The 23,402-nt window shown below is 36.3% G+C and overlaps 2 annotated features.

Annotated features, from left to right (window-relative positions):
- Window positions 17,194-17,873: an enhancer, noted in NCBI's record as "OCT4-NANOG-H3K27ac hESC enhancer chr7:119896333-119897012 (GRCh37/hg19 assembly coordinates)". NCBI's record gives its function as "activates a minimal SCP1, AML or CMV promoter by ChIP-STARR-seq in primed H9 embryonic stem cells {active_cell/tissue: H9 hESC(primed)}" and the evidence as "EXISTENCE:reporter gene assay evidence [ECO:0000049][PMID:30033119]".
- Window positions 17,874-18,552: an enhancer, noted in NCBI's record as "OCT4-NANOG-H3K27ac hESC enhancer chr7:119897013-119897691 (GRCh37/hg19 assembly coordinates)". NCBI's record gives its function as "activates a minimal SCP1, AML or CMV promoter by ChIP-STARR-seq in primed H9 embryonic stem cells {active_cell/tissue: H9 hESC(primed)}" and the evidence as "EXISTENCE:reporter gene assay evidence [ECO:0000049][PMID:30033119]".

The following is a 23,402-nucleotide window of genomic DNA, read 5'->3' on the forward strand; positions in this document are numbered from 1 at the left end:
TGAAGCTTAGTTTGGCTGGATATGAAATTCTGGGTTGAAAATACTTTTCTTTAAGAATGTTGAATATTGGCCCCCATTCTCTTCTGGTTTGTAGAGTTTCTGCTGAGAGATCAGCTATTAGTCTGATGGGCTTCCCTTTGTGGGTAACCCGACCTTTCTCTCTGGCTGCCCTTAACATTTTTTCCTTCATTTCAACTTTGGTGAATCTGACAATTATGTGTCTTGGAGTTGCTCTTCTCGAGGAGTATCTTTGTGGCATTCTCTGTATTTCCTGAATTTGAATGTTGGCCTGCCTTGCTAGACTGGGGAAGTTCTCCTGGATAATACCCTGCAGGGTGTTTTCCAACTTGGTTCCAATCTCCCCGTCACTTTCAGGTACACCAATCAGACGTAGATTTGGTCTTTTCACATAGTCCCATATTTCTTGGAGGCTTTGTTCATTTCTTTTTATTCTTTTTTCTCTAAACTTCTCTTCTCACTTCATTTCATTCATTTCGCCTTCCATCACTGATACCCTTTCTTTCAGTTGATCGCGTCGACTACTGAGGCTTCTGCATCCGTCACATATTTCTCGTGCCTTGGTTTTCAGCTCCATCAGGTACTTTAAGGACTTCTCTGCATTGGTTATTCTAGTTATCCATTTGTCTAATTTTTTTTTCAAAGCTTTTAACTTCTTTGCCATTGGTTCGAACTTCCTCATGTAGCTCAGAGTCGTTTGATCGTCTGAAGCCTTCTTCTCTCAACTCATCAAAGTCATTCTCCGTCCAGCTTTGTTCCGTTGCTGGTCAGGAGCTGCGTTCCTTTGGAGGAGGAGAGGTGCTCTGATTTTTAGAGTTTCCAGTTTTTCTGCTCTGTTTTTTCCCCATCTTTGTGATTTTATCTACCTTTGGTCTTTGACGATGGTGATGTACAGATGGATTTTTGGTGTGGATGTCCTTCCTGTTTGTTAGTTTTCCTTCTAACAGACAGGACTCTCAGCTGCAGGTCTGTTGGAGTTTGCTAGCGGTCCACTCTAGACCCTGTTTGCCTGGGTATCAGCAGCAGTGGCTGCAGAACAGCAGATATTGGTGAACCGCAAATGCTGCTGCCTGATTGTTCCTCTGGAAGTTTTGTCTCAGAGGAGTACCCGGCCGTGTGAGGTGTCAATCCGCCCCTACTGGGGGGTGCCTCCCAGTTCGGCTACTCGGGGGTCAGGGACCCACTTGAGGAGGCAGTCTACCCATTCTCAGATCTCAAGCTGTGTGCTGGGAGAACCACTACTCTCTTCAAAGCTGTCAGACAGGGACACTTAAGTCTGCAGAGGTTACTACTGTCTTTTTATTTGTCTGTGCCCTGCCCCCAGACGTGGAGCCTACAGAGGCAGGCAGGCCTCCTTGAGCTGTGGTGGGCTCCACCCAGTTCAAGCTTCCGGGCTGCTTTGTTTACCTACTCAAGCCTGGGCAATGGCGGGCGCCCCTCCCCCAGCCTCGCTGCTGCCTTGCAGTTTGATCTCAGACTGCTGTGCTAGCAATGAGCGAGACTCCGTGGGCATAGGACCCTCTGAGCCACGTGTGGGATATAATCTCCTGGTGTGCCATTTTTTAAGCCCATTGGGAAAGCACAGTATTAGGGTGGGAGTGACCTGATTTTCCAGGTGCCATCTGTCACCCCTTTCTTTGACTAGGAAAGGGAATTCCCTGACCCCTTGTGCTTCCCAGGTGAGGTGATGCCTTGCCCTGCTTCGGCTTGTGCATGGTGCGCTGTACCCACTGTCCTGCACCCACTGTCTGGCACACCCCAGTGAGATGAACCCAGTACCTCAGTTGGAAATGCAGAAATCACCCATCTTCTGCCTCGCTCACACTGGGAGCTGTAGACTGGAGCTGTTCCTATTCGGCCATCTTGGCTCCTGGAGTCTAAAATCTGATTTTTTGTTGATTGACTTAGGTACAATTAGCAAGCAGTGGAGCCTAAGATACAAAACAGGTCACTCTCCCATCTCCTATGCTTTACATGCCATTCCAAATTAAGTATTTCATTTTATTTTTATGCATTAATATTGTATGTTGAAAAATGTAATCAAGTTCTGATTAGTAGTCACTGTACCTGGATACAATTCTCAAATAAGTTTTATCTCTTCTATTATTAAAAACTAATAAATTGTTCATCTTGTTTTTCTAAATATATCATAACATGGAATAATTCTCATTATATAACATTATGTTAAAAATCAGAATGAACATAAAATGTATAGCATGGCCTAACTGATAAACACCTATAGACTGGAGAGGGAAACTGGAGGCTTTGCCCCCAACATAACTCTTTCTCTTTCTATTTTTTTCCCATAAAAATTGAAAGTTAAATTTGGGTTCTTTTATTTTGAACACTTAAAAACAATTACACTTTAATAATATATCTACTATAACAGTAGTAAAATAAAATCATATATCCAAAAAAACTAATGTAGCATCATGATAAAATCTAATTTTGAAATTATCATTAAAGAATTTTAACTTTCTAATATATTTCAGTAATTTTCAACAATTACCACTTTAAAGGAGGTACTGTTTAAAATTTTGGGGGGCTATTGAAAGAGATGAATATTTGTCACTGTGCTTCTCATTTAACAAGGAATTAAAGCTTCAATATGATTACTACAGGAAGTAAATATTTAAATTGGGCAATTTATTATTTAGAAAACCACTGTAGTTTAAACCTTTAAGTTTTCTATCCAAGTGATGTAGCTACACTGAAGACCAAGGATATGTGAAGATTATATGCAAATACTATGCCATTTTATGTAGGGGACTTGAGCATCCTTGGATTTTGGCATCTGCAGGCATGCTGGATCCAATTCTCCATGGATACTGAGGGACAACTGCATACACACACACACACACACACACACACACACACACACACACACACACAAATATTCAGCCTTAAAAAGATGATCCTACCATTTGCCACAATATAGATGGACCTGGAGGACACTCTACATGCAATAAGCCAGACGCAGAAGGAAAAATATAGCTTGTATGTGAAACACAGAGAAAAAAACAGAGCATGTTCTGATTTACCTGCTCTTCTGCTCTGCTCTTGGTGTCTGGCAGGGGAAGTCACCCAGCTGCAATAAGTTGAGAGTGAACTAGGAACCTGACTGCTTGTGAAACAGCCTTAAAATAATTCTCCTGATTTCAAATCTCTCTCATTTTCAGAAAAACCTGTAAGTGACAAGAGTTTTGGGGATTATGTGATATAAACTTGATTGTTTCTTGGTATTCCCTATTGCTGGTTTAAATTTTACTTTTAACAGGAATGCTAGTTAACTTAACACTTGTATTTCTGCAATTCAGTTTCGAAAATTGTGTTGGCAAGGTTTCCTTTCCTTTTTTTCTGATCTTGTGAATCTATATCTTAGTAAATGTATCCTTTTATTGTTTTAGTGGGTTTTCTGGAGAAATCAAATGTGTATGTATGTATATGAATGATCAGCTGCTATATCAAAATAAGCATGTCCATATATAAACTTGTCTTTCTTCCCAGGGTATGTATCTTTTCCTGTTCCTTAATGGTCTATCACTCTTCTGATTGCTGAGGTTAGACACTAGTCCATTTCCTGTCTCCTACATTATTTTGCCTTATCCAACCTGCCAATCAATTTCACCATTTCTTCCTTTAAATAATGTCTCAGGATTTCCACTTTCTCTGCTTACTTGGTGTCTCTATTCTGGTTCATCCGCATGCCATTTAAATTCCAGCTCAGTAGACATGAAGCCATTTCAATAAATTTGTGTTAGATTATCCAAATGATACATTCCATGCACTCAATGATCCATTCAGAAATGAGTGTTGGAACTGTTTCAACCTCAAATTAAGGTAAAATCTGCTTTTATTGATTTAATCTACACAAGTCTCACGATTTATTGATAATCTTAAAAGGAAGGAGAAGAAACAAGAACCAAGTAAACAGTCAGTACTTTATTATTACATTATCAGTTTAATTCAATGGTTTTTGAAAAGCACTTTTCCCAAATTTTTAAGTTCATTTATCTATTGAGATCAAAACATATTAATATTTATTTAACATTGCTTAATTCATTCAATGCATGCATATTCTGTAACTATTATGTATCAGTTATTTTGCTTGGGTTCAGTTGTGTTTGGATGAGGATGCAAATTTAAATATGAAAATTTGCGAGTGACCTCCCAATGTTCAAGCCTAGCAGGAGTGGTAAGCTTTTATAAACAGGACACAATATGGTATGCTAAGTGCTACAATGGAGGTGGGAACAAGGCAGATGGGGTATAGAAAGAACATAATTTTAAGCTCCATCCACCTCAGCTCTGGGGTAAAGGAAGGGTTCTGAGAGGTTAAAGCAGTTGAAATTATTACAGATATTATTGGAGAGGGCATTCTAAGCAAAGCCATCAAATAGCAAGGCAGGATGATGTGTTCCAGTAACTCTGTTTTGAATTATCATATACAATTCACCTTTGTATTTCTGTCACCTGGAATAGATCACAGCTTATGCTATATACTCAAAATTTTATGAAATGAAATTTCTTACATTTCATTAATTGAAATTAATGTACCGTACTTGTTGATTTCTTAAATATAACACAACAAAAGAGCAAACACTACAAGATAACATCCTTGGTCATCTGGTAGGTATAATTTATCTTTGTTCTGGGAACTGTAGTCAATATTCTGCAGTTCCTGCCCTCAGAATGATGAACAGCACTGTTGGAGAAGACTGAGACTTGTGCAAATAGCACATAATAGAACAATCTGTCCAGTATGTGTGCAAAGTAGGAGGTTTTGAGTAACTGCTGTGGAGCAGAAATCAGGAAACAGTTTTATTCCCAAACTTCTCTCTAATTAGCTGTGTTAACTTTTTAGAATCAATTATTGTTTGTGTCCCATGTTCTTAATTTTAAAGAGTGACTTGCACTAGGTAACAACTAAGTTTCTTTTCAGCTTCTAAGTTATACATATATGTCATTAAAATGATGAATAACAATGTTTCCTTGCCTCTATTCTTTCATAATTGTGTCTGGCGAGGACTGACTTTTGCTTCTAAGGTCAGCACAGAAAACAACTTTCTCTCCTAAACTCCCATGGAACTGTTTTGCTAGCTGTGTTATTGTTTAGTGCAGAATAAGATTTAGGGTATAGGTTCTGGCCTGGCACCATTTTATTTTATGGCTTTGCCACTAATTTCTGGTTGTATAATCTTGGAAATGTATTTTAATCTATCTGTTTAATTATTTCTTCATCTATTTAATGGGAATTCTACCAATACCTACTTCATAAAGTTATTGCTGAAATGAGTTAATGCTCACTCTCAAAGTGTTTAGAAGAGGACTCAGCAAAAATACATATTCAAAAGATAATTAATAAGTCATGATTATTTAAGATGTTTACAGTCCCATACCTTGCAAAAAGAATTAGTAGGATACAAGGTCAATAAAGAGCTGAGCCCTTTTGTAGGTGTAAATTGCCCAGAAGTGAAGTCTTACCTTCTTTTTCTCTGTAGCCCAAGTGTTTATTCTACTTAAATATTTGATGGGAGAGTGTAAAATTTTATTCCCCAAAAATACCTGAATGGAGCAATTATTCCTTTGTGTCCATTATAGTATTTAATAAAATGCCCTCATCTGATCCTTCATCCATATAAGGAAGAAAAGCTGGGAACTAAGGTTAAATAAGCAAGACCAGCTACATAATTGATGGGCCCCAGTGCAAAATGAAAATATGGGGCTCTTATTCAGAAAAACAGAAAAAGGCACTAAAGTATAAAACATTTTTATTTCTCCTGTGCATATCTTCTGGTCATTCACATGAACCATTTACCCATCATATTTCACTTACAAAACATCAAATCACAATGTAATAATTAAGGATTTAAAGACAGTTACTGCAGAGCATTAAACCAGAATGATACAATTTGCACAGGTCACATTCCCATAAAGATAACTGTAATCCAGAAGCATGAGGGAGATGGAGAAACATAAGCATTTATGTAACATAAGCATTTAATGGTAGTGCAAAAAAACGCAAAACCATAAAAATCCCACCACATCTCTAAAACTAATACTTCAATGTTATCAGACACCTGTGTTTCTCAATGGTAACTTCAAGGGGGAATATATATATATATATAATTGAACCTGATATCCAGCATGTGAGTTTATCATATAATGCCTCCTCTCTACTGACCAGTGTTTCCCCAGAATATTCAGGGTAAAAGTCTAAGTATTTGTATGGCCACAACACCCTGTTAATCTGAACCTGTCTCTCTTACCAATTTGTCTTTATCCCATATCATTCTGTTCCTTTCTTACTCATTTCCAAGCATGCTGGTCTCCCTGTTCTTGCTTAAAAATGCTAATGAGGCCCTTTTCTCTTGGCTTTAGAATTTTCTCTTATCTTCCTGGAACACTCTGTTTCCAAATATTCACATTTACTTTTCTCTTACTTCTTTAAGTTCTCTGCTTGAAGGGCACATTACTGGAGGGGTCCACCCTGACCTCCCTAGCTAAAAATCACTCTCTCTCTCGTGTGTGTGTGTGTGTGTGTGTGTGTGTGTGTGTGTCTGTATCTGTGGGTCTGTCTCCACTTTCTCCATTCTTTCTTCATTGTCTTCATAGAATTTATCCATACTTTTTGTATTTATATTTATGTATTTATTTACCTGTTTATTTTCTCATCACAGAAGACTATGTATTCCATGAAGTCAGCAACTTTATTTTGTTCACTGCTGCACCTTCACTGCATAGAATGCTCTCTGTCATGTAGCCGATGCTCAATAATATTTGAGAGAGTATATCAAAAGTCTGAAGCAATATAGTCTTGAGGTCATTTAAGTGTCAGGCTCTGTGTTAGACCTTTCTGGAAGCCACCCCCTTTAGCCCATTTAACAGTCACGGAAATGTGGAAATGGCAGGGACTAGATAACTTGCTCAAGGTTGCTACCACTGCTCTTCAATGGAAACATTTTAGTAGAACATTAAACCACAGAACAAGAAGAAAACACTCTACTAAATAGTGGGAAAAAATCTAAATCATATGTTTATATAATACTAAGGCTGAGATATTTTACATGTTATGGAAATGACTTAAAATTCCCTTTGTTCTGTAAATGTCAGTGAATTCACTAAAAGGCAAAAAAATGATAAGTGATCTCTGGTACTAAAGCCCCAGATTTTTCTTCTCCAATTTATCCTGTCTTCAGACTAATGTTCATAAAACAAATCTGTTATCATACCTTGTCCCTGCTTTTGAACTTTTTATTTTTTAATTTAAAACAAAATGAGATGGTGTCTCACTATGTTGCCCAGGCTGGCCTCAAACTCCTGAGCTCAAGAAATACTCCCCCATTGGCCTCCCAAAGTGCTGATATTACAGGTGTGAGCTGCCGTGCCCAGCTTTTTGAACTTTTTATTAACAATTACATCAAGGCCAGAAGTCCTTGCCTGACTTTCAAGATATTTCATAAATTCAATCCCATTTTTCTTAGTATTTTCAAGAAAGATAAATCACGCTTTAGTCAGATCAGTGGCCTCAATGTTTCCATCATCTCCTACTGCTCCAAAAGAGATACACACACTATATACATTCTCATGATACAACTTTTAATCTTTTCCACTTAAAAAAACAAAAACAAAAAATTCACACTTTAGTGCTGTGGTAGGTAGAATTCTAAGATGGCCTTGAAATTTCTCCATTCTGGGGTGAACATAATCCACAGAACCGTGTACATGATGGATTATAGTCCATCATTGTATTATGCGGCACAGTGGACTTTAAGAAAGTTAGTTTACCCAGGTGGGTCTAACTTATTCAAGAAAGCTCTTTAAAGCAGAGAGTTTTATCTAACTGGTCACAGAAATATAATTCACAAAAAGCATGAAAAATATGAGAGAGACTTCATGCCCTACTGCTTGTTCCAAGATGGAGAGGACTGCACGACAAGGAAAATAATTGGCTTATAAGAATCGAGACAGCACTGGCTCACAATCAGTAATATGGGTTTATCAGCCTTATATATGTCAAGGAACTGCATTCTACCAACAGGAATGAGGTTAGAAGTAGATTTTTCCCAGAGCCTCCAGGCAAGAATGTAGCCTAGCCAATGACTTGATTTCAGCTTTGTGATACCCTGAGCAGAAAACATGATCACACTGTGCTGACCTTCTGACCAGCAGACTATGGTATAATAAATAAATATTATGTTAAGTGCTAAATTAGTGGCAATTTGTTATTCAGGAATAAAAAATTAATACAGTGCCTAATTGCTTCCACTTTACCACCAACATTTCATAAACATTTTGGTTAAGACCAGGCAGGGCATTCAGCAAAGTAGCCAGAGGATCAGTGCCTTAGTAGTAGTGCTGAGCGCTCCCTAGAACAAAGCCTATGCTAGCCATGCATGAGCAATGAGTAAATACAGACTTCAAAGGGATCAAAGAGTCTGCAAATAATTTAAATACATAAAAAGTTAAAACTGACATTCTTTAAAGATACAGCAAAATCTAGAAATACAACTATAAAACACTCACAGTCTACAGCATACAATCAAAATATACTTTAAAGGAAAGAAGCAAGAAAATGTGACCCATAACCAAAAGAAAAATAACAGCCAATAGAAAAAGGCCCAGAAGTATCAAAGATGGTGGTACTAAAAGACAAAGATGTTAAAAAATTTATTACAAATGTGTTAAAATACTTAAATAAAAACGTGAACCTATTGAGAAAAATAAATGGAAAATATAAGAAATGCCTAATGGAATTTTTTAATGTGAAATATACAATAACGAGATAGGATTTAATAGCAAATCAGATATTACAAAAAAATCAATAATCTTAAAGGCAGCAATAGAAACTATCCAAAATGAAACAGAGTAATAAAGAATGAAAAAGGAACACAGTTTTAGTGGCCCATAGGAAAATATCAAGTTGTCTATCATATATACAAATATATTCTTAGGAAGAAGAGTTGGCAGGAAAGTATGTAAAGACATAATAGTAAAAATTCTTCTAACTATGCTAAAATAATTAGTAAACCCACAGATCCAAAAGCTCAATGAGCCCTAGGCAGGGCACACACACATACACACCACAGCAAAATTAAATTTCTAAAACCAAAGATAAACAGAAATTCTTACAAGAGGCCAGAAAAAAATTACTAAATCATTATGTACAGTGAACCCTATATGAAAAATAAAAATAATCACAGACATCTTAAACAAACTATGCAAGCCAAAAGACAATGGAATAGCTTTAGAGTACTAAAAGTAAAAGCCTGGCAAAATAAAAGTCTTACAAATTGAAAAAGAATTAAAGTCAACTTTATAGGCAAACAGGAATGTGTACATTGAATACTGTATATAATAAAAAATTACTTCAAAAATAAATGTGAAGTAAAAAAAATTTTGATAAAAGCTAAATGGATGTGTCATTGACAGACAAACATCACAAGAACTGTTAAAGGAAGTTCCTTGGGTGGGAAGAAAATGATAACAGACAGAAAGTTGTATTTCCTGAAAGAAATAAAGACTGTTAAAATAATAAATATGTGAGTAAACAAAAATAGTTTTCATTATTTCTAATTCCTTTAAAAGGCCCAAAAGCATACGTTGAAGATCATGTCACTTAAGTAGAAACAAACATTGTGACAAAAGTTGCATGAAAACAGGAGGGTAAAAATGGAAGTATGGTGCTTAAGTATCATATATGAGAAGTGATACAATATTTCAAGGCATACTGTAATTAGGTAAAGATGTATGTCTTACACTCTTAAACAGTATTAACAAAAAAATTTATAGATAATAAGTTGATAATGAAAATAAAGTTGAATGTTAAAAATAACTTTAAAATAAAACACAGATTGACCTTTAAAAACAATAGTGTAAATAAAATTATATTTGAAAAATACTAAAGTCATGAAAAAATAATGTAGGGAAAGAGATAAAGTAGACAAATGCTAGTTAGAAAAAAATGAAAACAAAGAGCAAGATGGTATATTTATACCTAAACATTCAAAGTTACATTAAATGTTAATGGTTTGAAAATTCCAGTTAAAGGGCAGAGATTTTCAGACTGCATTTAAAAAGCAATCTCAACTAATGCCTCTGAAAAAAATGCATTTTAAATAGAAAGATACAAATAAGTTAAATGAAAAATAAAAATATAAAGTATGCAAATGCTAACATAAAATGTTGGAAACACTATATTAATATCAGGCAAAATATAATTTAGAACAAAAGTGTTAACAGAAATAGTGATATTTCATAATGACCAAGAGATCAATCAATCAAGATGACAATATAATCCCAGTTGTGTATGTACCAAATAAGTGAGTTCCAAAATACATAAGCAAAAAGGGACATAACTGAGGAGAAATAAACAAATTAAAATTATACTTTGAGATTTCACCACCCTCTCTTCAGTAATGGATAAAGTACAGATAAATCAGTAAGAATATAGCTGATCTGAAAAAAGTAAAAAACTATCACTCAAATTGTCTTAATTGGTATCTATAGTACATTCCACCAAAGCATAGCAGAATACAAATTCTTTGAATTACACATGGAAAATTCACCAAAATAATCCATATTCTATTTAACAACATAAATCATAATGAATTTTAAAGAACCCTAGCCGTGCAATGTATATTCTCTAACCAAAATGGAATTAATCAATAAATCAATAATAAAGTTACTTGGAGAATTGCCAAATTTTGGAAATTAACAAACATCATGTAGGGTAAATATTACCCTAAATATCATGTAGGGTAAAGAGAAATTCAGGAAAAAGTAAACTCAAACAGAAAATTTAATATAACAAAATTAAATTTTGCAGCTGAAGCTGGGATGCAACTAATGCATTCGCTATAAGAAAATGTATGTTACATACACTTACATTTAAAAATAAGAAATGCATAAAATAAGAAATCTGATCATTTGCCTTAATAAGATTCTTTACAAAGAAAATTAAACCTAACCTAAGCAAAGAAAAAAAATAGTAAATAGCAGAAATCAATGAAGATGCAAATGAGTACACAGTGGAGAAGGGTGATAAAAAGCCCTCAAAATTGAAAAATCCGTACAATTTATAAACCTGTAGCTATAATTGTCAAAATAAAAAGAGATGGCACATTTTTAATATTAAGAATTATAGACAGAAGATCACTACAGATTCTGCTCATATTGGGTGAAATAAGTATAAGCAAATTTATCCCCAATAACTGTTTGAAACTTTGAAGATTATAGACAAATTGCCTGATGGACAAATATTATTTCATTACCAATAGATATGAACACTTTCTATTTCATATAAGTGAAATACCATACAATTGCTTTTCTTTCTTTTTTTTTTTTTTTTTTGAGATGGAGTCTCACTTTGTCTCCCAGGCTGGAGTGCAGTGGTATGATATCTGCTCACTGCAATCTCCGCCTCCCAGATTCAAGCAATTATCCTGCCTCAGTCTCCCAAGTAGCAGGGATTATAGCCTGCCACCACACCTGGCTAATTTTTATATTGTTAGTAGAGACAAGGTTTCACCATGTTGGCCAGTCGGGTCTCCAACTCCTGACCTCAAGTGATCTGCCCACCTCGGCCTCCCAAAGTGCTGGGATTACAGGCATGAGCCACCATGACTGGTCCATATAATTTTATATATATTAAATAGAAGGTAATAGCTTTACACATAATTTGTAATGAATTTGTAATTAAATACTTCCTCCCACAGAAAAAACTCCATACCAAGATGGCTTCATTGGTGAATTTTGTCAAACATTTAAGGAAGAAATAATAATACACTAGTAGATCTCTTCCTGAAAATAGAGGAAGAGGAACCAGTTCCAACCTTATTTTATGCGGGCAGCATTACTCTGATAGCAAAACCAGATAAAGCTATTACAAGGAAATAATTCTATAGACCAATATCTTTTACAATCACATCCTTTCATGTTCTGTGGGCGTGACATCTACTTAGGCCAGCGCTGAAGATAAGCTGGTTTTCATAGTCCCATTTTCAAACAACCCATCTCTCTACCAACATACCAAGATACCTCAAAATACAAGTATTAGACTTAGCAGAGGAGAAAACCCATGTCTTTGTCGCATTCCTGCTGTCATGTTTCCTTCAGAAATAAATGTTCTGCTATTAAAGTTTATATTTAGAAGAGATACTCTGTTCATGGTATTCTTGCATTCTACTGTATATGAAATGAAATTAACCTGTTTGAATATGAAAAGAAACACAGAAGTTATTAGAACTCTGTAAATGTCCCACAGTTAGACTGTATCCAACCTGAAAAATATTTTCATGGGAATTTATAGAGATTTATGGAGATATTTTATGAAAAATGTTTGAATTTCAGTTGCTTCCAAATATTTGCCCTTTCTCCTTTCTGTTTCCAGAAATTACCACCTTTGCTGGGTCCATAAGCATTGAACTAATTACAAGTCAGTGACTATGGCAATATAGGTTAGACTAGAAAAGACATATAATTACTATTTGCATATAAAACATTTACTTTGTTTCCATCAATTAAAGTCATCATAATAGTTTTTTAATGATTACATTTGCTCTTATTAGAAGTGTTTGCACATTGTTATATAAGTCAAAAACTCAGGCCAGTTTTACTGATATCCCATCAGAAAATGATTTGAGGACTAAAGCACAGTGCATCCAGGTTTTTACCCCATAAAAATGAAAACAGTATGTTGTGAGGTGCTGATTACTTCCACTGTTCAATGCATTATCTAGATTATCTGTGGCTCCCAGTTGAATAATACACATATTAAAAAGATTTTGTTGGACTGGGTGGTTTACAATCTGCTGTATTTTTTATACATCTCATTCAAAAACCTTTGGTAAGTTGAGGATTAGTCATAGTAGTTTTTATTAAAGATTTTTTAAATGTACATTAATGACTGCTTATATTATCCACTTGTTCAATTTTTCAAGCTCCAACATTACAGTTTTATGTGTTGTATGCTTTCTGCAGATTTTTCTATTTTGCTCAAATGAGTGTAAAATTGTATATAGCTGAATATATCCCTATTGACATACATTTGAATGGGCTCAATAGCTTAATGTAATCCGCCTAAAGATTGTAAGAGTCTGCCTAAACATAAAAATTCAATGACAAGTATATTTTATAAACAGAAATTGATGAGAGAATATATCTATGTAGAGTCTAGACACTCTGCAGTTTGTGACTTGAAGTCAAATTATATTTTTCTTTCCTAAAATACATTTTTTTACTATAAGTGGAAATTCACTAACAATATTCTATTCATGGGTAGGAGTAATGCCACCAAAGTGTTGAAGACAGAGAGTTTCATACAAGTCTAATAAATTTGGAAAAGATAGCATTACCATTCACCATCCTGAATTCCAAGTAACTTAGTTAATTGTGAAGCAGAAATCCACATATAAGCAATGAATGTTTGTGTTAAACTTATACTAGTAAATTATTTTTATAGTGCCATTTAGGTCATTCAGTTAATTCCACATTCTCTCATTAATATCTATGCCTATAAACGTGGCTTTAAAATGATGGATAGAGTCAAAGTTTTTTTTTAAAATGATGTTTTATTACCTTTTTATAACTTGGCTTGTTTTAAATTATGTGTAGTCACTTGATAAATGCTTCCCCTGTTTTCCTGTTTTTAAGAGGTAATGTGGCATGAAGCAGTAAAAAGTACTGTACTTAGGGTCAGAAGAAAGCACCTATTCTGTCTGTCATGTGAGGTGCAAAGACAAATACTATTTCATTCTTGCATAATGTAAAATATGATAAATATGATTATACAAATATAAGGTTCCATGGGAGGAAGCACACAATGTAAAGAGTAGGATATATATGAATAAGAAGTTGCCAGATAGAGAAAGGAGAGGAATGGCATTAAAATGAGAGGAAATCAGCCACAATGTGTGCAAAGAAGTAAGAAACAAACAAACAATGACAACAACCAAAAACAAGACTAAAATCTGCAGTGTTGTGACATGACTATATTACAGCATGTGTACGTTAATGGTGGTTTTGGGGTTGTGGGGAAGAGGAGGGAGGTGCACAGTTGCAAAAAATTAAGTGGGGCCATAGCAGATAATATTGTAACTTTATGCTCCAAGCGATGATGAGCTCTTAAACAAAGATTAAGCGGAGTGAAGTAAAACTTTTTCTTTAATCTTTAATTTCCAAAATATCACTGTGCACTGCAGACTTTATCCAGGAGGAAAAAGAAACTGTTGCAGGAAGGCCAATTTTAGAAAGCTAAGAGGGTTCATAGTAGAATAGGAATGAGGAAAAATTAATAGATTTGAGAGTAACTTTATACCTTGTTACAAATAGTTTACCTTTACTTACAAGGGTAACTACTAAATTTTAATTGCCTTAACACAGAAGAAATCCAAATTCAAATTCTTCTTTTACCCTTTTATCATAGATCCAATGGCCACACTGTTATTTTTGAAAGGAATGACATTTTTCCCTCACTCCAAATTTCCCACTTTATTATCTAAAAATGGTTCCTCTCATTATTATCCTAACACTCAATCTCAACGGATGAAAGTATTTATCTTCTCACCTAGGTCAGAATTCATTTTTTCTTCTCCGTGTTCCTGTGATATATTGCTCATATGTTCCATTCTTAATTTTTTGCTACCTTTACCATATTATAGGAGCCTTAGAGGTAGGATCCCTGCCATATCTGACAATCTGTGACAAACATTCCCTTGATCATAAACACTCAATAAATGTATGGTGAAAGGAAAAATAATTGATTCTAACTCAACTACAATCTAGATAATGTTATCTTCCAGTGATAAGACATTGACAAATGATATTTTTGGTATAACACAGGATCACTATTTGATTTTTATGGATGTATGCATCTTTACTCATGTCTATGTGTAAAAGATAAACCTAGTTTAAAATCCCACCCATAAGTGTTAGTGTTGACTCTTACAGTCAAATGTATTAATATATATCCTTTCATATTTATTCTAACTGTGAACTTTTATTATAATGTCTATCTTTCAGGCCAGTTTATTCAAGTTACCATTTCTACTAATAGTAAACCATTACTCATATAGAGTTTTACTACATTTAAGCAACCACATCCTTTCAATGACTAAAATGGAACACAGGAATGGAGGTTTATACTTGATTTTACCTGATATGGTTTGGCTCTGTGTCCCCACCCAAATCTCATCTCAAATTGTTATCCCCATAATCCCCATGTGTTGAGGGATGGACCTGGTGGAAGGTGATTAGATCATGGGTGCAGTTCCCTCCATGCTGTTCTCATGATAGTGAGTTCTCACCAGATCTGATGGTTTTATAAGTGGTGATTTCCCCTCTCTTCTCTCCCCTGCCGCCTTGTGAAGAAGATGCCTGCTTCCCCTTCTGCCATGATTGTAAATTTCCTGAGGCCTCCCTGGTCATGTGGAACTGTAAGTCAATTAAACCTCTTTCCTTTATAAATTACCCAGTCTCAGGGAAGTTCTTTACACTAGTGTAAAAACAGACTAATACAATCCCATGGTTTATGAATAAGTATGTGAGTAATGAGTCCTGATGTGTTGCTGTAACTGCACCTCCTCCATAAAGACCATTTTTGTGCTATAAGGCCTGGGGTTTTTTGAAAAAGTTCAAATCTTTAGTATCTGTTCATTCATTATTTTATAAACATTACAAAAACTTATACCTCAGAAATATGGTAATATTTTCCCATACATTACAGTTGTAATAGATTGTACTTTTCAGAAACAACTGCAATAATATTTCCAGTTTCACATCATCTTCTAGCATCTTGCCACTCTGCCATTATAGGGTAGTATTGAACTCCCCTCGCTTTGACCTTGAATGGGCCTGTTGAAGCAATAATAAACTGATAGTGACACTATGTGACAGCCAAAATTAGTCATCTAAGCAACACAGTTTCTGTCTAGCTCTTGCTCTGGATAGGTGCCCTTGGAACTCAGCCATCACACTGTGAGGAAGCCCAAACCACATGGAGAGATCTGCATGGAAAGGAGGTGAGGCTTTGAGCCCTAAGTCCTGCCCAAGCTCCCACCTGAAAACTGCTACCAATTGTTAGTTAGGTGCATTTATCACATGACTTCCTCACCAATGTGTGTATAATGTGACTTTCCACCCACATTATGGAACAATGAACAAAAGAAAATGACTTGTAGTTTTGGGGCATATAGTATTGAAGTGGTTAAAAGGCAACAGTATTCTGAACAAAGTAAATGAAATTATTCGTAAGCGGTACATCTTGCATTAATAGAACATTTCCTTATAATGTGAATGTGACCTCCAGGACAGTCAAGCTTACTCTGTTTAGTTGGCTTTTGTATTATGAGTGCTTAGACAGACCTCGGCCCAAAGTATGGACTTGGTACATAAAACAGTGAATTTATAATGAGAGATGGATATGGTTTGGATTTGTGTCCCTGTCCAAATCTCATGTCAAATTGAAGGAGGGGTATGGTGGGAGATGATTGGATCGTGGGGGTAGATTTCACCCTTGCTGTTCTTGTGATAGTGAGTTCTCATGAGATCTGATGGTTTAAAAGTGTGTGATACTTCCCCCTTTGTGCTCTCTCTCTCTCTCTCACTTTCTCTCTTTCTCTCTCTCTCTCCTGCTCTGCCATGGTAAGATGTGCTTGCTTCCCCTTCGCCTTCCATTATGCTTGTAAGTTTTCTTTTTTCTTTTCTTTTTTTTTTTTTTTTTGAGACAGACTTTCACCCTTGTTGCCCAGGCTGGAGTGCAATGGCATGATATCGGCTCACCGCAACCTCCACTTCCCAGGTTCAAGTGATTCTCCTGCCTCAGCCTCCCAAGTAGCTGGGATTACAGGCATGTGCCACCACACCAGGCTAATTTTTGTATTTTTAGCAGAGATGTGGTTTCTCCATGTTGGTCAGGCTGGTCTCAAACTCCTGACATCAGGTGATCCACTTGCCTTGACCTCCCAAAGTGCTGGGATTACAGGAGTGAGCCACTGCGCCTGGCCACTTGTAAGTTTTCTGACACCTCCCAGCCATGCTTACTGTTAAGCCTGTGGAACTGTGAGTCAATCAAACCTCTTTTCTTCATAAATTACCCAGTCTTAGGTAGTTCTTTATAGCAGTGTGAGAACAGACTAAATTCAAAAATTGGTACCAGAAGTGGGGTACTGCTATAAAGATAACTGAAAATGTGGAAGTTACTTTGGAACTGCATAATGGGCAGAGGTTGGAACACTTTGGAGGGCTCAGAAGAAGACAGGAAGTTGTGGGAAAGTTTGAAACTTACTAGAAACTTGTTGAATGGTTGTGACAAAAATGCTGATAGTAATATGGACAATGAAATTCAGGCTGAGGCCTTCTCATATGGAGATGAGGAACACATTGGGAACTGGAGCAAAGGTCTTTCTTGCTATGCTTTAGCAAAGAGACTGGCAGCATTGTTCCCCTGCTTTGGGGATCTGTGGAATGTTAAACTTGAGAGAGATGATGTAGGGTATCTGGCAAAAAAAATTTCCAAGCAGCAAAGCATTCAAGATGAGACCTGGCTGCTTCTAAAAGCCTATGCTCCTTTGCATAAACAAAGGAATAACCTAAAACTAGAACTTACATTTAAAAGGGAGGCAGACAAAAGTTTGGAAAATTTGCAGCCAGACCATGTGGGAGAAAAAGAAATTTTTTCCTGGGGAGATATTCAAGCAGCCAGCTGCAGAAATTTGCATAAGTAAAGAGGAGCTGAATGCTAATGACAAAGACAATGGGGAAAATGTCTCTAGGGCATTTCAGAGATCTTCACAGCAGCTCCACCCATCACAGGTCTGAAGGCTTAGGAGAAAAAAAATGTTTCTTGGGCCAGACCCAGGGACCTGCTATTCTTTGCAGCCTTGAGACATGGTGCCCTGCATCCCAGTCACCCCAGCTCCAGCCATAGCTAAAAGGGCCAAGGTATAGCTCAGGTCATGGCTTCAGAGGGTGCAAGCCCCAAGTCTTGGCCACTTCCACATGGTGATGGGCCTGCAGGTACACAGAAGGCAAGAATCAACGTTTGGTAACCTCCTCCTAGATTTCAGAGGATGTATAGAAATGCCTGGATGTCCAGGTAAAAGTCTGCTGTAGGGGTTGAGCCCTCATGGAAAACCTCTACTAGGGCAGTGCAGAGGGCAAATGTGGGGTTGGAGCCCCACACAGATTCCCTACTGGGGCACTGCCTAGTGGAGCTGTGAGAAGAGGACCATTGTCTTCCAGACCCCAGAATGGCAGATTTACCAACAGCTTGCATCGTGTACCTGAAGAAGCTGCAGATCCTCAATGCCATCCCTTGAAAGTAGCTATGGGAGGGAGTGTACCCTGCAGAGTCACAGGGGAAGAGCTGCCGTAGGCCTTGGTAGCCCACCCCTTGCATCATCATGCCCTGGATGTGAGACATGGAGTCAAAAGAGATCATTTTGGAACTTTAAGATTTAATGACTGCCCAGCTGGGATTCAGACTTGCATGGGGTCTGTTAGCCCCTTCATTTTGGCCAGTTTCTTCCATTTAAAATGGCATTTATCCAATGCCTGTAAACCCAGTGTATCTTGGAAATAATTATAATAACTTGTTTTTGACCTTACAGGCTCATAGGTGAAAGGGACTTACCTTGCACCAAAGTCTTAGCTGAGACTTTGGAGTGTAGACTATTGAGTTAATGCTGAAATGAGTTAATACTGGGGGACGGTTGAGAAAGGACAATTGTATTTGGTAATGGGAGAGGGACATGAGATTTGGGAAGAGCCGGGGTGCAATGATATGATTTGGATTTGTGTCCCTGCTCAAATCTCATGTGTCAAATATGAAGAGGGGCCTGGTAGGAGGTGACTGAATCATAAAAGTGGATGCCCCCCTTGCTGTTCTCTTAATAGTGTGTTCTCATGAGATCTGATGGTTTAAATGTGTGTGGCACTTCCCCCTTCACTCTCTCTCTCCTGCTCTGCTATGGTAAGTTGTGCTTGCTTCCAATTGGCTTCTGTCATGATTGTTAAGTTTCCTGAGCACCCCCCACCCAGGCATACTTCCTGTTAAGCCTGCAGAACTGTGAGGCAATTAAACCTCTTTTCTTCATAAATATTGAGTCTCAGGTAGTTCTTTCTAGCAATGTTAGAATGAACTAATACAGAGATATAGAAATCAAGGCTAAAAAAGAATAATAAAGGCTTTTGAAAAATATACACAATCAAAATTTCTGCAAAGTGAAAATTGTCAGAACATTATCTAAATTTATGAAAATGTTAATATACATAAAAGTTCAAAAACGTGTATTTAAAACGGTAAGAATCTTAAAATCTAATATACATTACTTTCACATTCGTGTATAATTTCAAATATATGTTATCTTATGTTAACCTTCAACATCATTGTTAAGTGTGTATGTTTTTTATTTAGTTGTCTGTATTTGCTTATTTAATATTTTACTAGTACCTGAAATAGAGGAATTGATTTAACATCCCCAAAATGAATTTTCATCTTTTTAAAATAACATATAATATTTGCAATTTTGATTCAAAAAGTACTAAGTTACTTTCTCTAAAGCAATTACCCTCGTGATTTCTTTATTCATAATATTGGTTGCAAGGTAGGTTGTGTCTTTCTTAATGTTTTCTCCTAAATGAAAAGGTCCCTGCAGACATTATAAATCCTAAGATTCAGATTCAGTCATGTATTTTTCCATTTTACTGACCTGCAATGAAGCACATCTTTTCCAAGCAACACATAAGGCATCTGGGGAAAATTCCATCACTATAAAAAATGTTTATTATTTAATCTGCATTGTGATGCATAGCTCATTCAAAGTATGACTGAGAAGAAGACACATTAACTCAACAGTCAGGGCAAATAAAAATCAGCGTGAGAAAAATTATTGAGTGAAAAGTCACTGAGTCCCATATTATTAGCCATTTTGTATTTCTATAATATAAATTTATCTGTGATAAATCTTGGAAACTTCCCACACAGAGATTCATATATGTCCTAAAAATTAATAAAACTATTAATTAGTAACATTTATAATCACTGGGCTCAATAAATTCAGATAAAATAATGTGGATTGCATTTAAAAAAATTATTAAGACATGTAAAACATCATCCCATTTAGGAAAATGAGATCTTGGACAAAAAGAAATATTTATGAAATGATATTCTTTTAAGTTAATATTTTTTATTTTATTTTATTCAAATCATTAGCTATAAGTGCCTTAAAATTTGTCACGTGATAACATTTATGGTTTAAACATTAGAAGCACTCTATGGTTGATGTTAAATCGTGGTTATTAATATACCACTTTGAAATTATCTCCTACGGGAAATTCCTGACATAAAAAAATTAACCCACCACCTATGAATTTACCTCTTCTCATATTATCAAAATTTATAAATAGGATAAAAATGTGTCATAGTCTATTGCAACTGTTAAGTTGGAAAGCACTTTGATATGATTCAGCATCTAAAAATGTAGAATACCAGATAGCTCCATGGTAAATGCATTTCCAGTGTATTACTTACAATAATAGCACCAATAAGTTTGTTCAAATGTATGACTAATGATAAAAGCCTATTTTTTTATTTTACCAAACATCCATTGATAATATCTCAACATTACTTATTCCTCAGCCAGAATACTTCCTAAAGTGTTAAGAAGCAATATTTCTTAAGGACCTGTGAGTATTGCCTTCTGCTTATATTTTATGACACTGCCTTCCTTTAACATAATGCTTCAGAAATGACAAATTATGTGTGGATCCTACCATGCTCCTCAACATCGAGTTGATTCTTACTTCCATGCTTTATCCTATACTGTCTTCTGTCATTTCCAGGCAGCTTTCTCTCCTGAATTTCATCTTAACTTGATAAAACTGGACTTAGTTTTAAAAACTCAGTTGAGGAATGTGTTGGCTGTCCCCAAGACCACCCCCACATTCATAGATTCCCTAGAAAGACTCACAGGATTCAGCATTTGGGTGTACTCACCACAAAGATTTATTACAGCAATGTAGTAAGGATACACAGTTGGATCACACTGGGAAAAGGTGCAGTGTTGGGAGGAATCCATGTGATTTTCTTATGCTTTCTTCTTCCCATGAGGTGTCACACACAGTATCCTCTTCCAGTAACAAAATGCAGCAATATGTGTGATGTGTGCTAAGTTTCTGCCCAGTGAAGCTCATTAGAAACCTAGCTGGAGGCTAGTCATGCAGGTACCCTCTGCTTAGAATGTACTAACATTCCTGCCTCTCAAAAGAAATGTAGATGTTCAGTATAAGCCATATTGTTTGCACAGACAAAGCACAGTGAACCACCTTTATCAGTTAGCTATTGACTGGGAATCAAGTTTCCAGATGTCAACCAACGGCCAACCTTTTAAATAGTCTAATTTATTTTATTTTATATTTTAATTTAATTTTATTTTATTTTATTTTATTTTTTGGGGAGGAGACAGAGTCTTGGTCTGTCACCCAGGCTGGAATGCAGTGGCACTATCTCAGCTCACTGCAACCTCTGCCTCCAGTTTCAAGGGATTCTCGTACCTCAGCCTCTTAAGTAGCTAGGATTACAGGTATGTGCCACCACGCCCAGCTAATTTTTGTACTGTTAGTAGAGACGGGGGTTTTGCCATGTTGCCCGGGCTGGTCTCGAACTCCTGGCCTCAAGTGATCCGCCCACCTTGGTCCTCCAAAGTGCTGAGATTACAATCGTGAGCCACTGAGCCCGGCCTCAAGTTACCTTTCTAAAGATAGCAGGCTGAGGCCTGCTATATTAGTTTTTGTTTTTTGTTTTTGCTTTTTTTGCACAGGAAGTAATCCTCTAAAGAATCTGTTTCTGATTCCTGGAAAGTTAGCTGCTGGTGTTCAGTGCTCCCAGACTTAAATATTTCATAGGATTTTCTGCTTTGGAGTGCAATAGCCAATATATTTAGCCTTCTCTCCCATATTACTCCTGAATATCTTTTACACAGAACTTGGAAAATATAACTCACTTGGGAAAAGTCTCTTGAAAGGATCATAAAGTCCTATTTCTACTTGATTTAGTATTTATATCTTATCCCCTTTTCCATCCTATTCTCTTCCTAAATAATTCACTCTGAATATCATTAAGTAATTTATCTTCTTTGCCATTGTTAGTACCATATGCAAATATGTGTCAAGGTGTCAAGTAGAAAGGAGGTAGGTTGAGCTGTGGTGGCCTGACGCAGGGTGTTAGAGCTGAGTCTGGTAAGCAGAAAATCCAGAGTAGGAGCAGACCAGCACATGCTGGAATCCAAGTAGGATGAGGACGAGGAAGGCATCACTATTGGTAGGCACCCCAGCATGTTGTGTCAGAGCCCAGTAAGGTGGGAGGGCATTCAAACAGAGGGAGAACCAAGGCACAATTGTGGATATTGGGGCAGGGAGAGGAGGGTGTCTACACAGGGATGAAACAGTGGTAGCAGTGGCTGGCAGAGTACTGGAGGATAAATGAAGAGTGGCAGTAGTAGGTGTATATTTAGAAAGTTAATATAGATGTAGATATATATTTACAGGTATATATCTGACTTATATATGTATGATTTAACAGACTATATATAGCATATTTGTTTCTATTCTCCATGGTCCTAATATACAACAACAGAAATTTTTAAATATTGTTATATTCTTTAAATAAATATTCCACTGGTTATTTTGATGAGAATGTATTTCTCAGTTAGGGAGAGAGAGGTTATAAATGTATTATTGCTGTTGATATCAAACATAGGTTTAAAGCACTACCCCACCCCCACCCTGCCAAGATAAGCTTACTGCATCTAAGAGAACTGGAAGTGAAATTGAGGATGTAGAACAAGATACTAATTTCCAAAGGTTTAATATCAAAGAGCAAATTTCTAGAAGACCTAGGACTGTAAGCTCAAGTCTTTCATTAAACTCCTCTATCTCCTGCATTTAGAGCCTACTACAACAGCTATCTTAACACACCAGTATGAAAGATAGCCATCTTTTTCCCTAAATACATTTTCCTTCTACTTCCTGTTTGTTATAATTATTCTTCCAGTCACTGGGCTCAACATCTGTCCCTTATCTTTTTCATCTTAGCCTTCCATACCCAACATTCAGATCATCATGCATAGCAACATTTTTTCTCACAAGTCATCTTATGCACATTTCATTGACTTTTCTTATTGCATCCTTCAGTTGGAGAAGTCTCTTTTTTTCTCTTAGTTTCTTCTTCTTTAGATTTCTCCTGCACATAGATGTAATAAAATGAATAATTTTTTTTTAAATTTTCTCTATAAATTGGTTAGAGAAATAAACAAAGAGGAAGTATGATCAGTGTTGGAATCTTTTAATTCCTTTCTCCTCTAACTATGCCATTTCTTTTACCATGC

This window comes from Homo sapiens, chromosome 7, assembly GCF_000001405.40.
Source record: "Homo sapiens chromosome 7, GRCh38.p14 Primary Assembly".
NCBI lineage: Eukaryota > Metazoa > Chordata > Mammalia > Primates > Hominidae > Homo > Homo sapiens.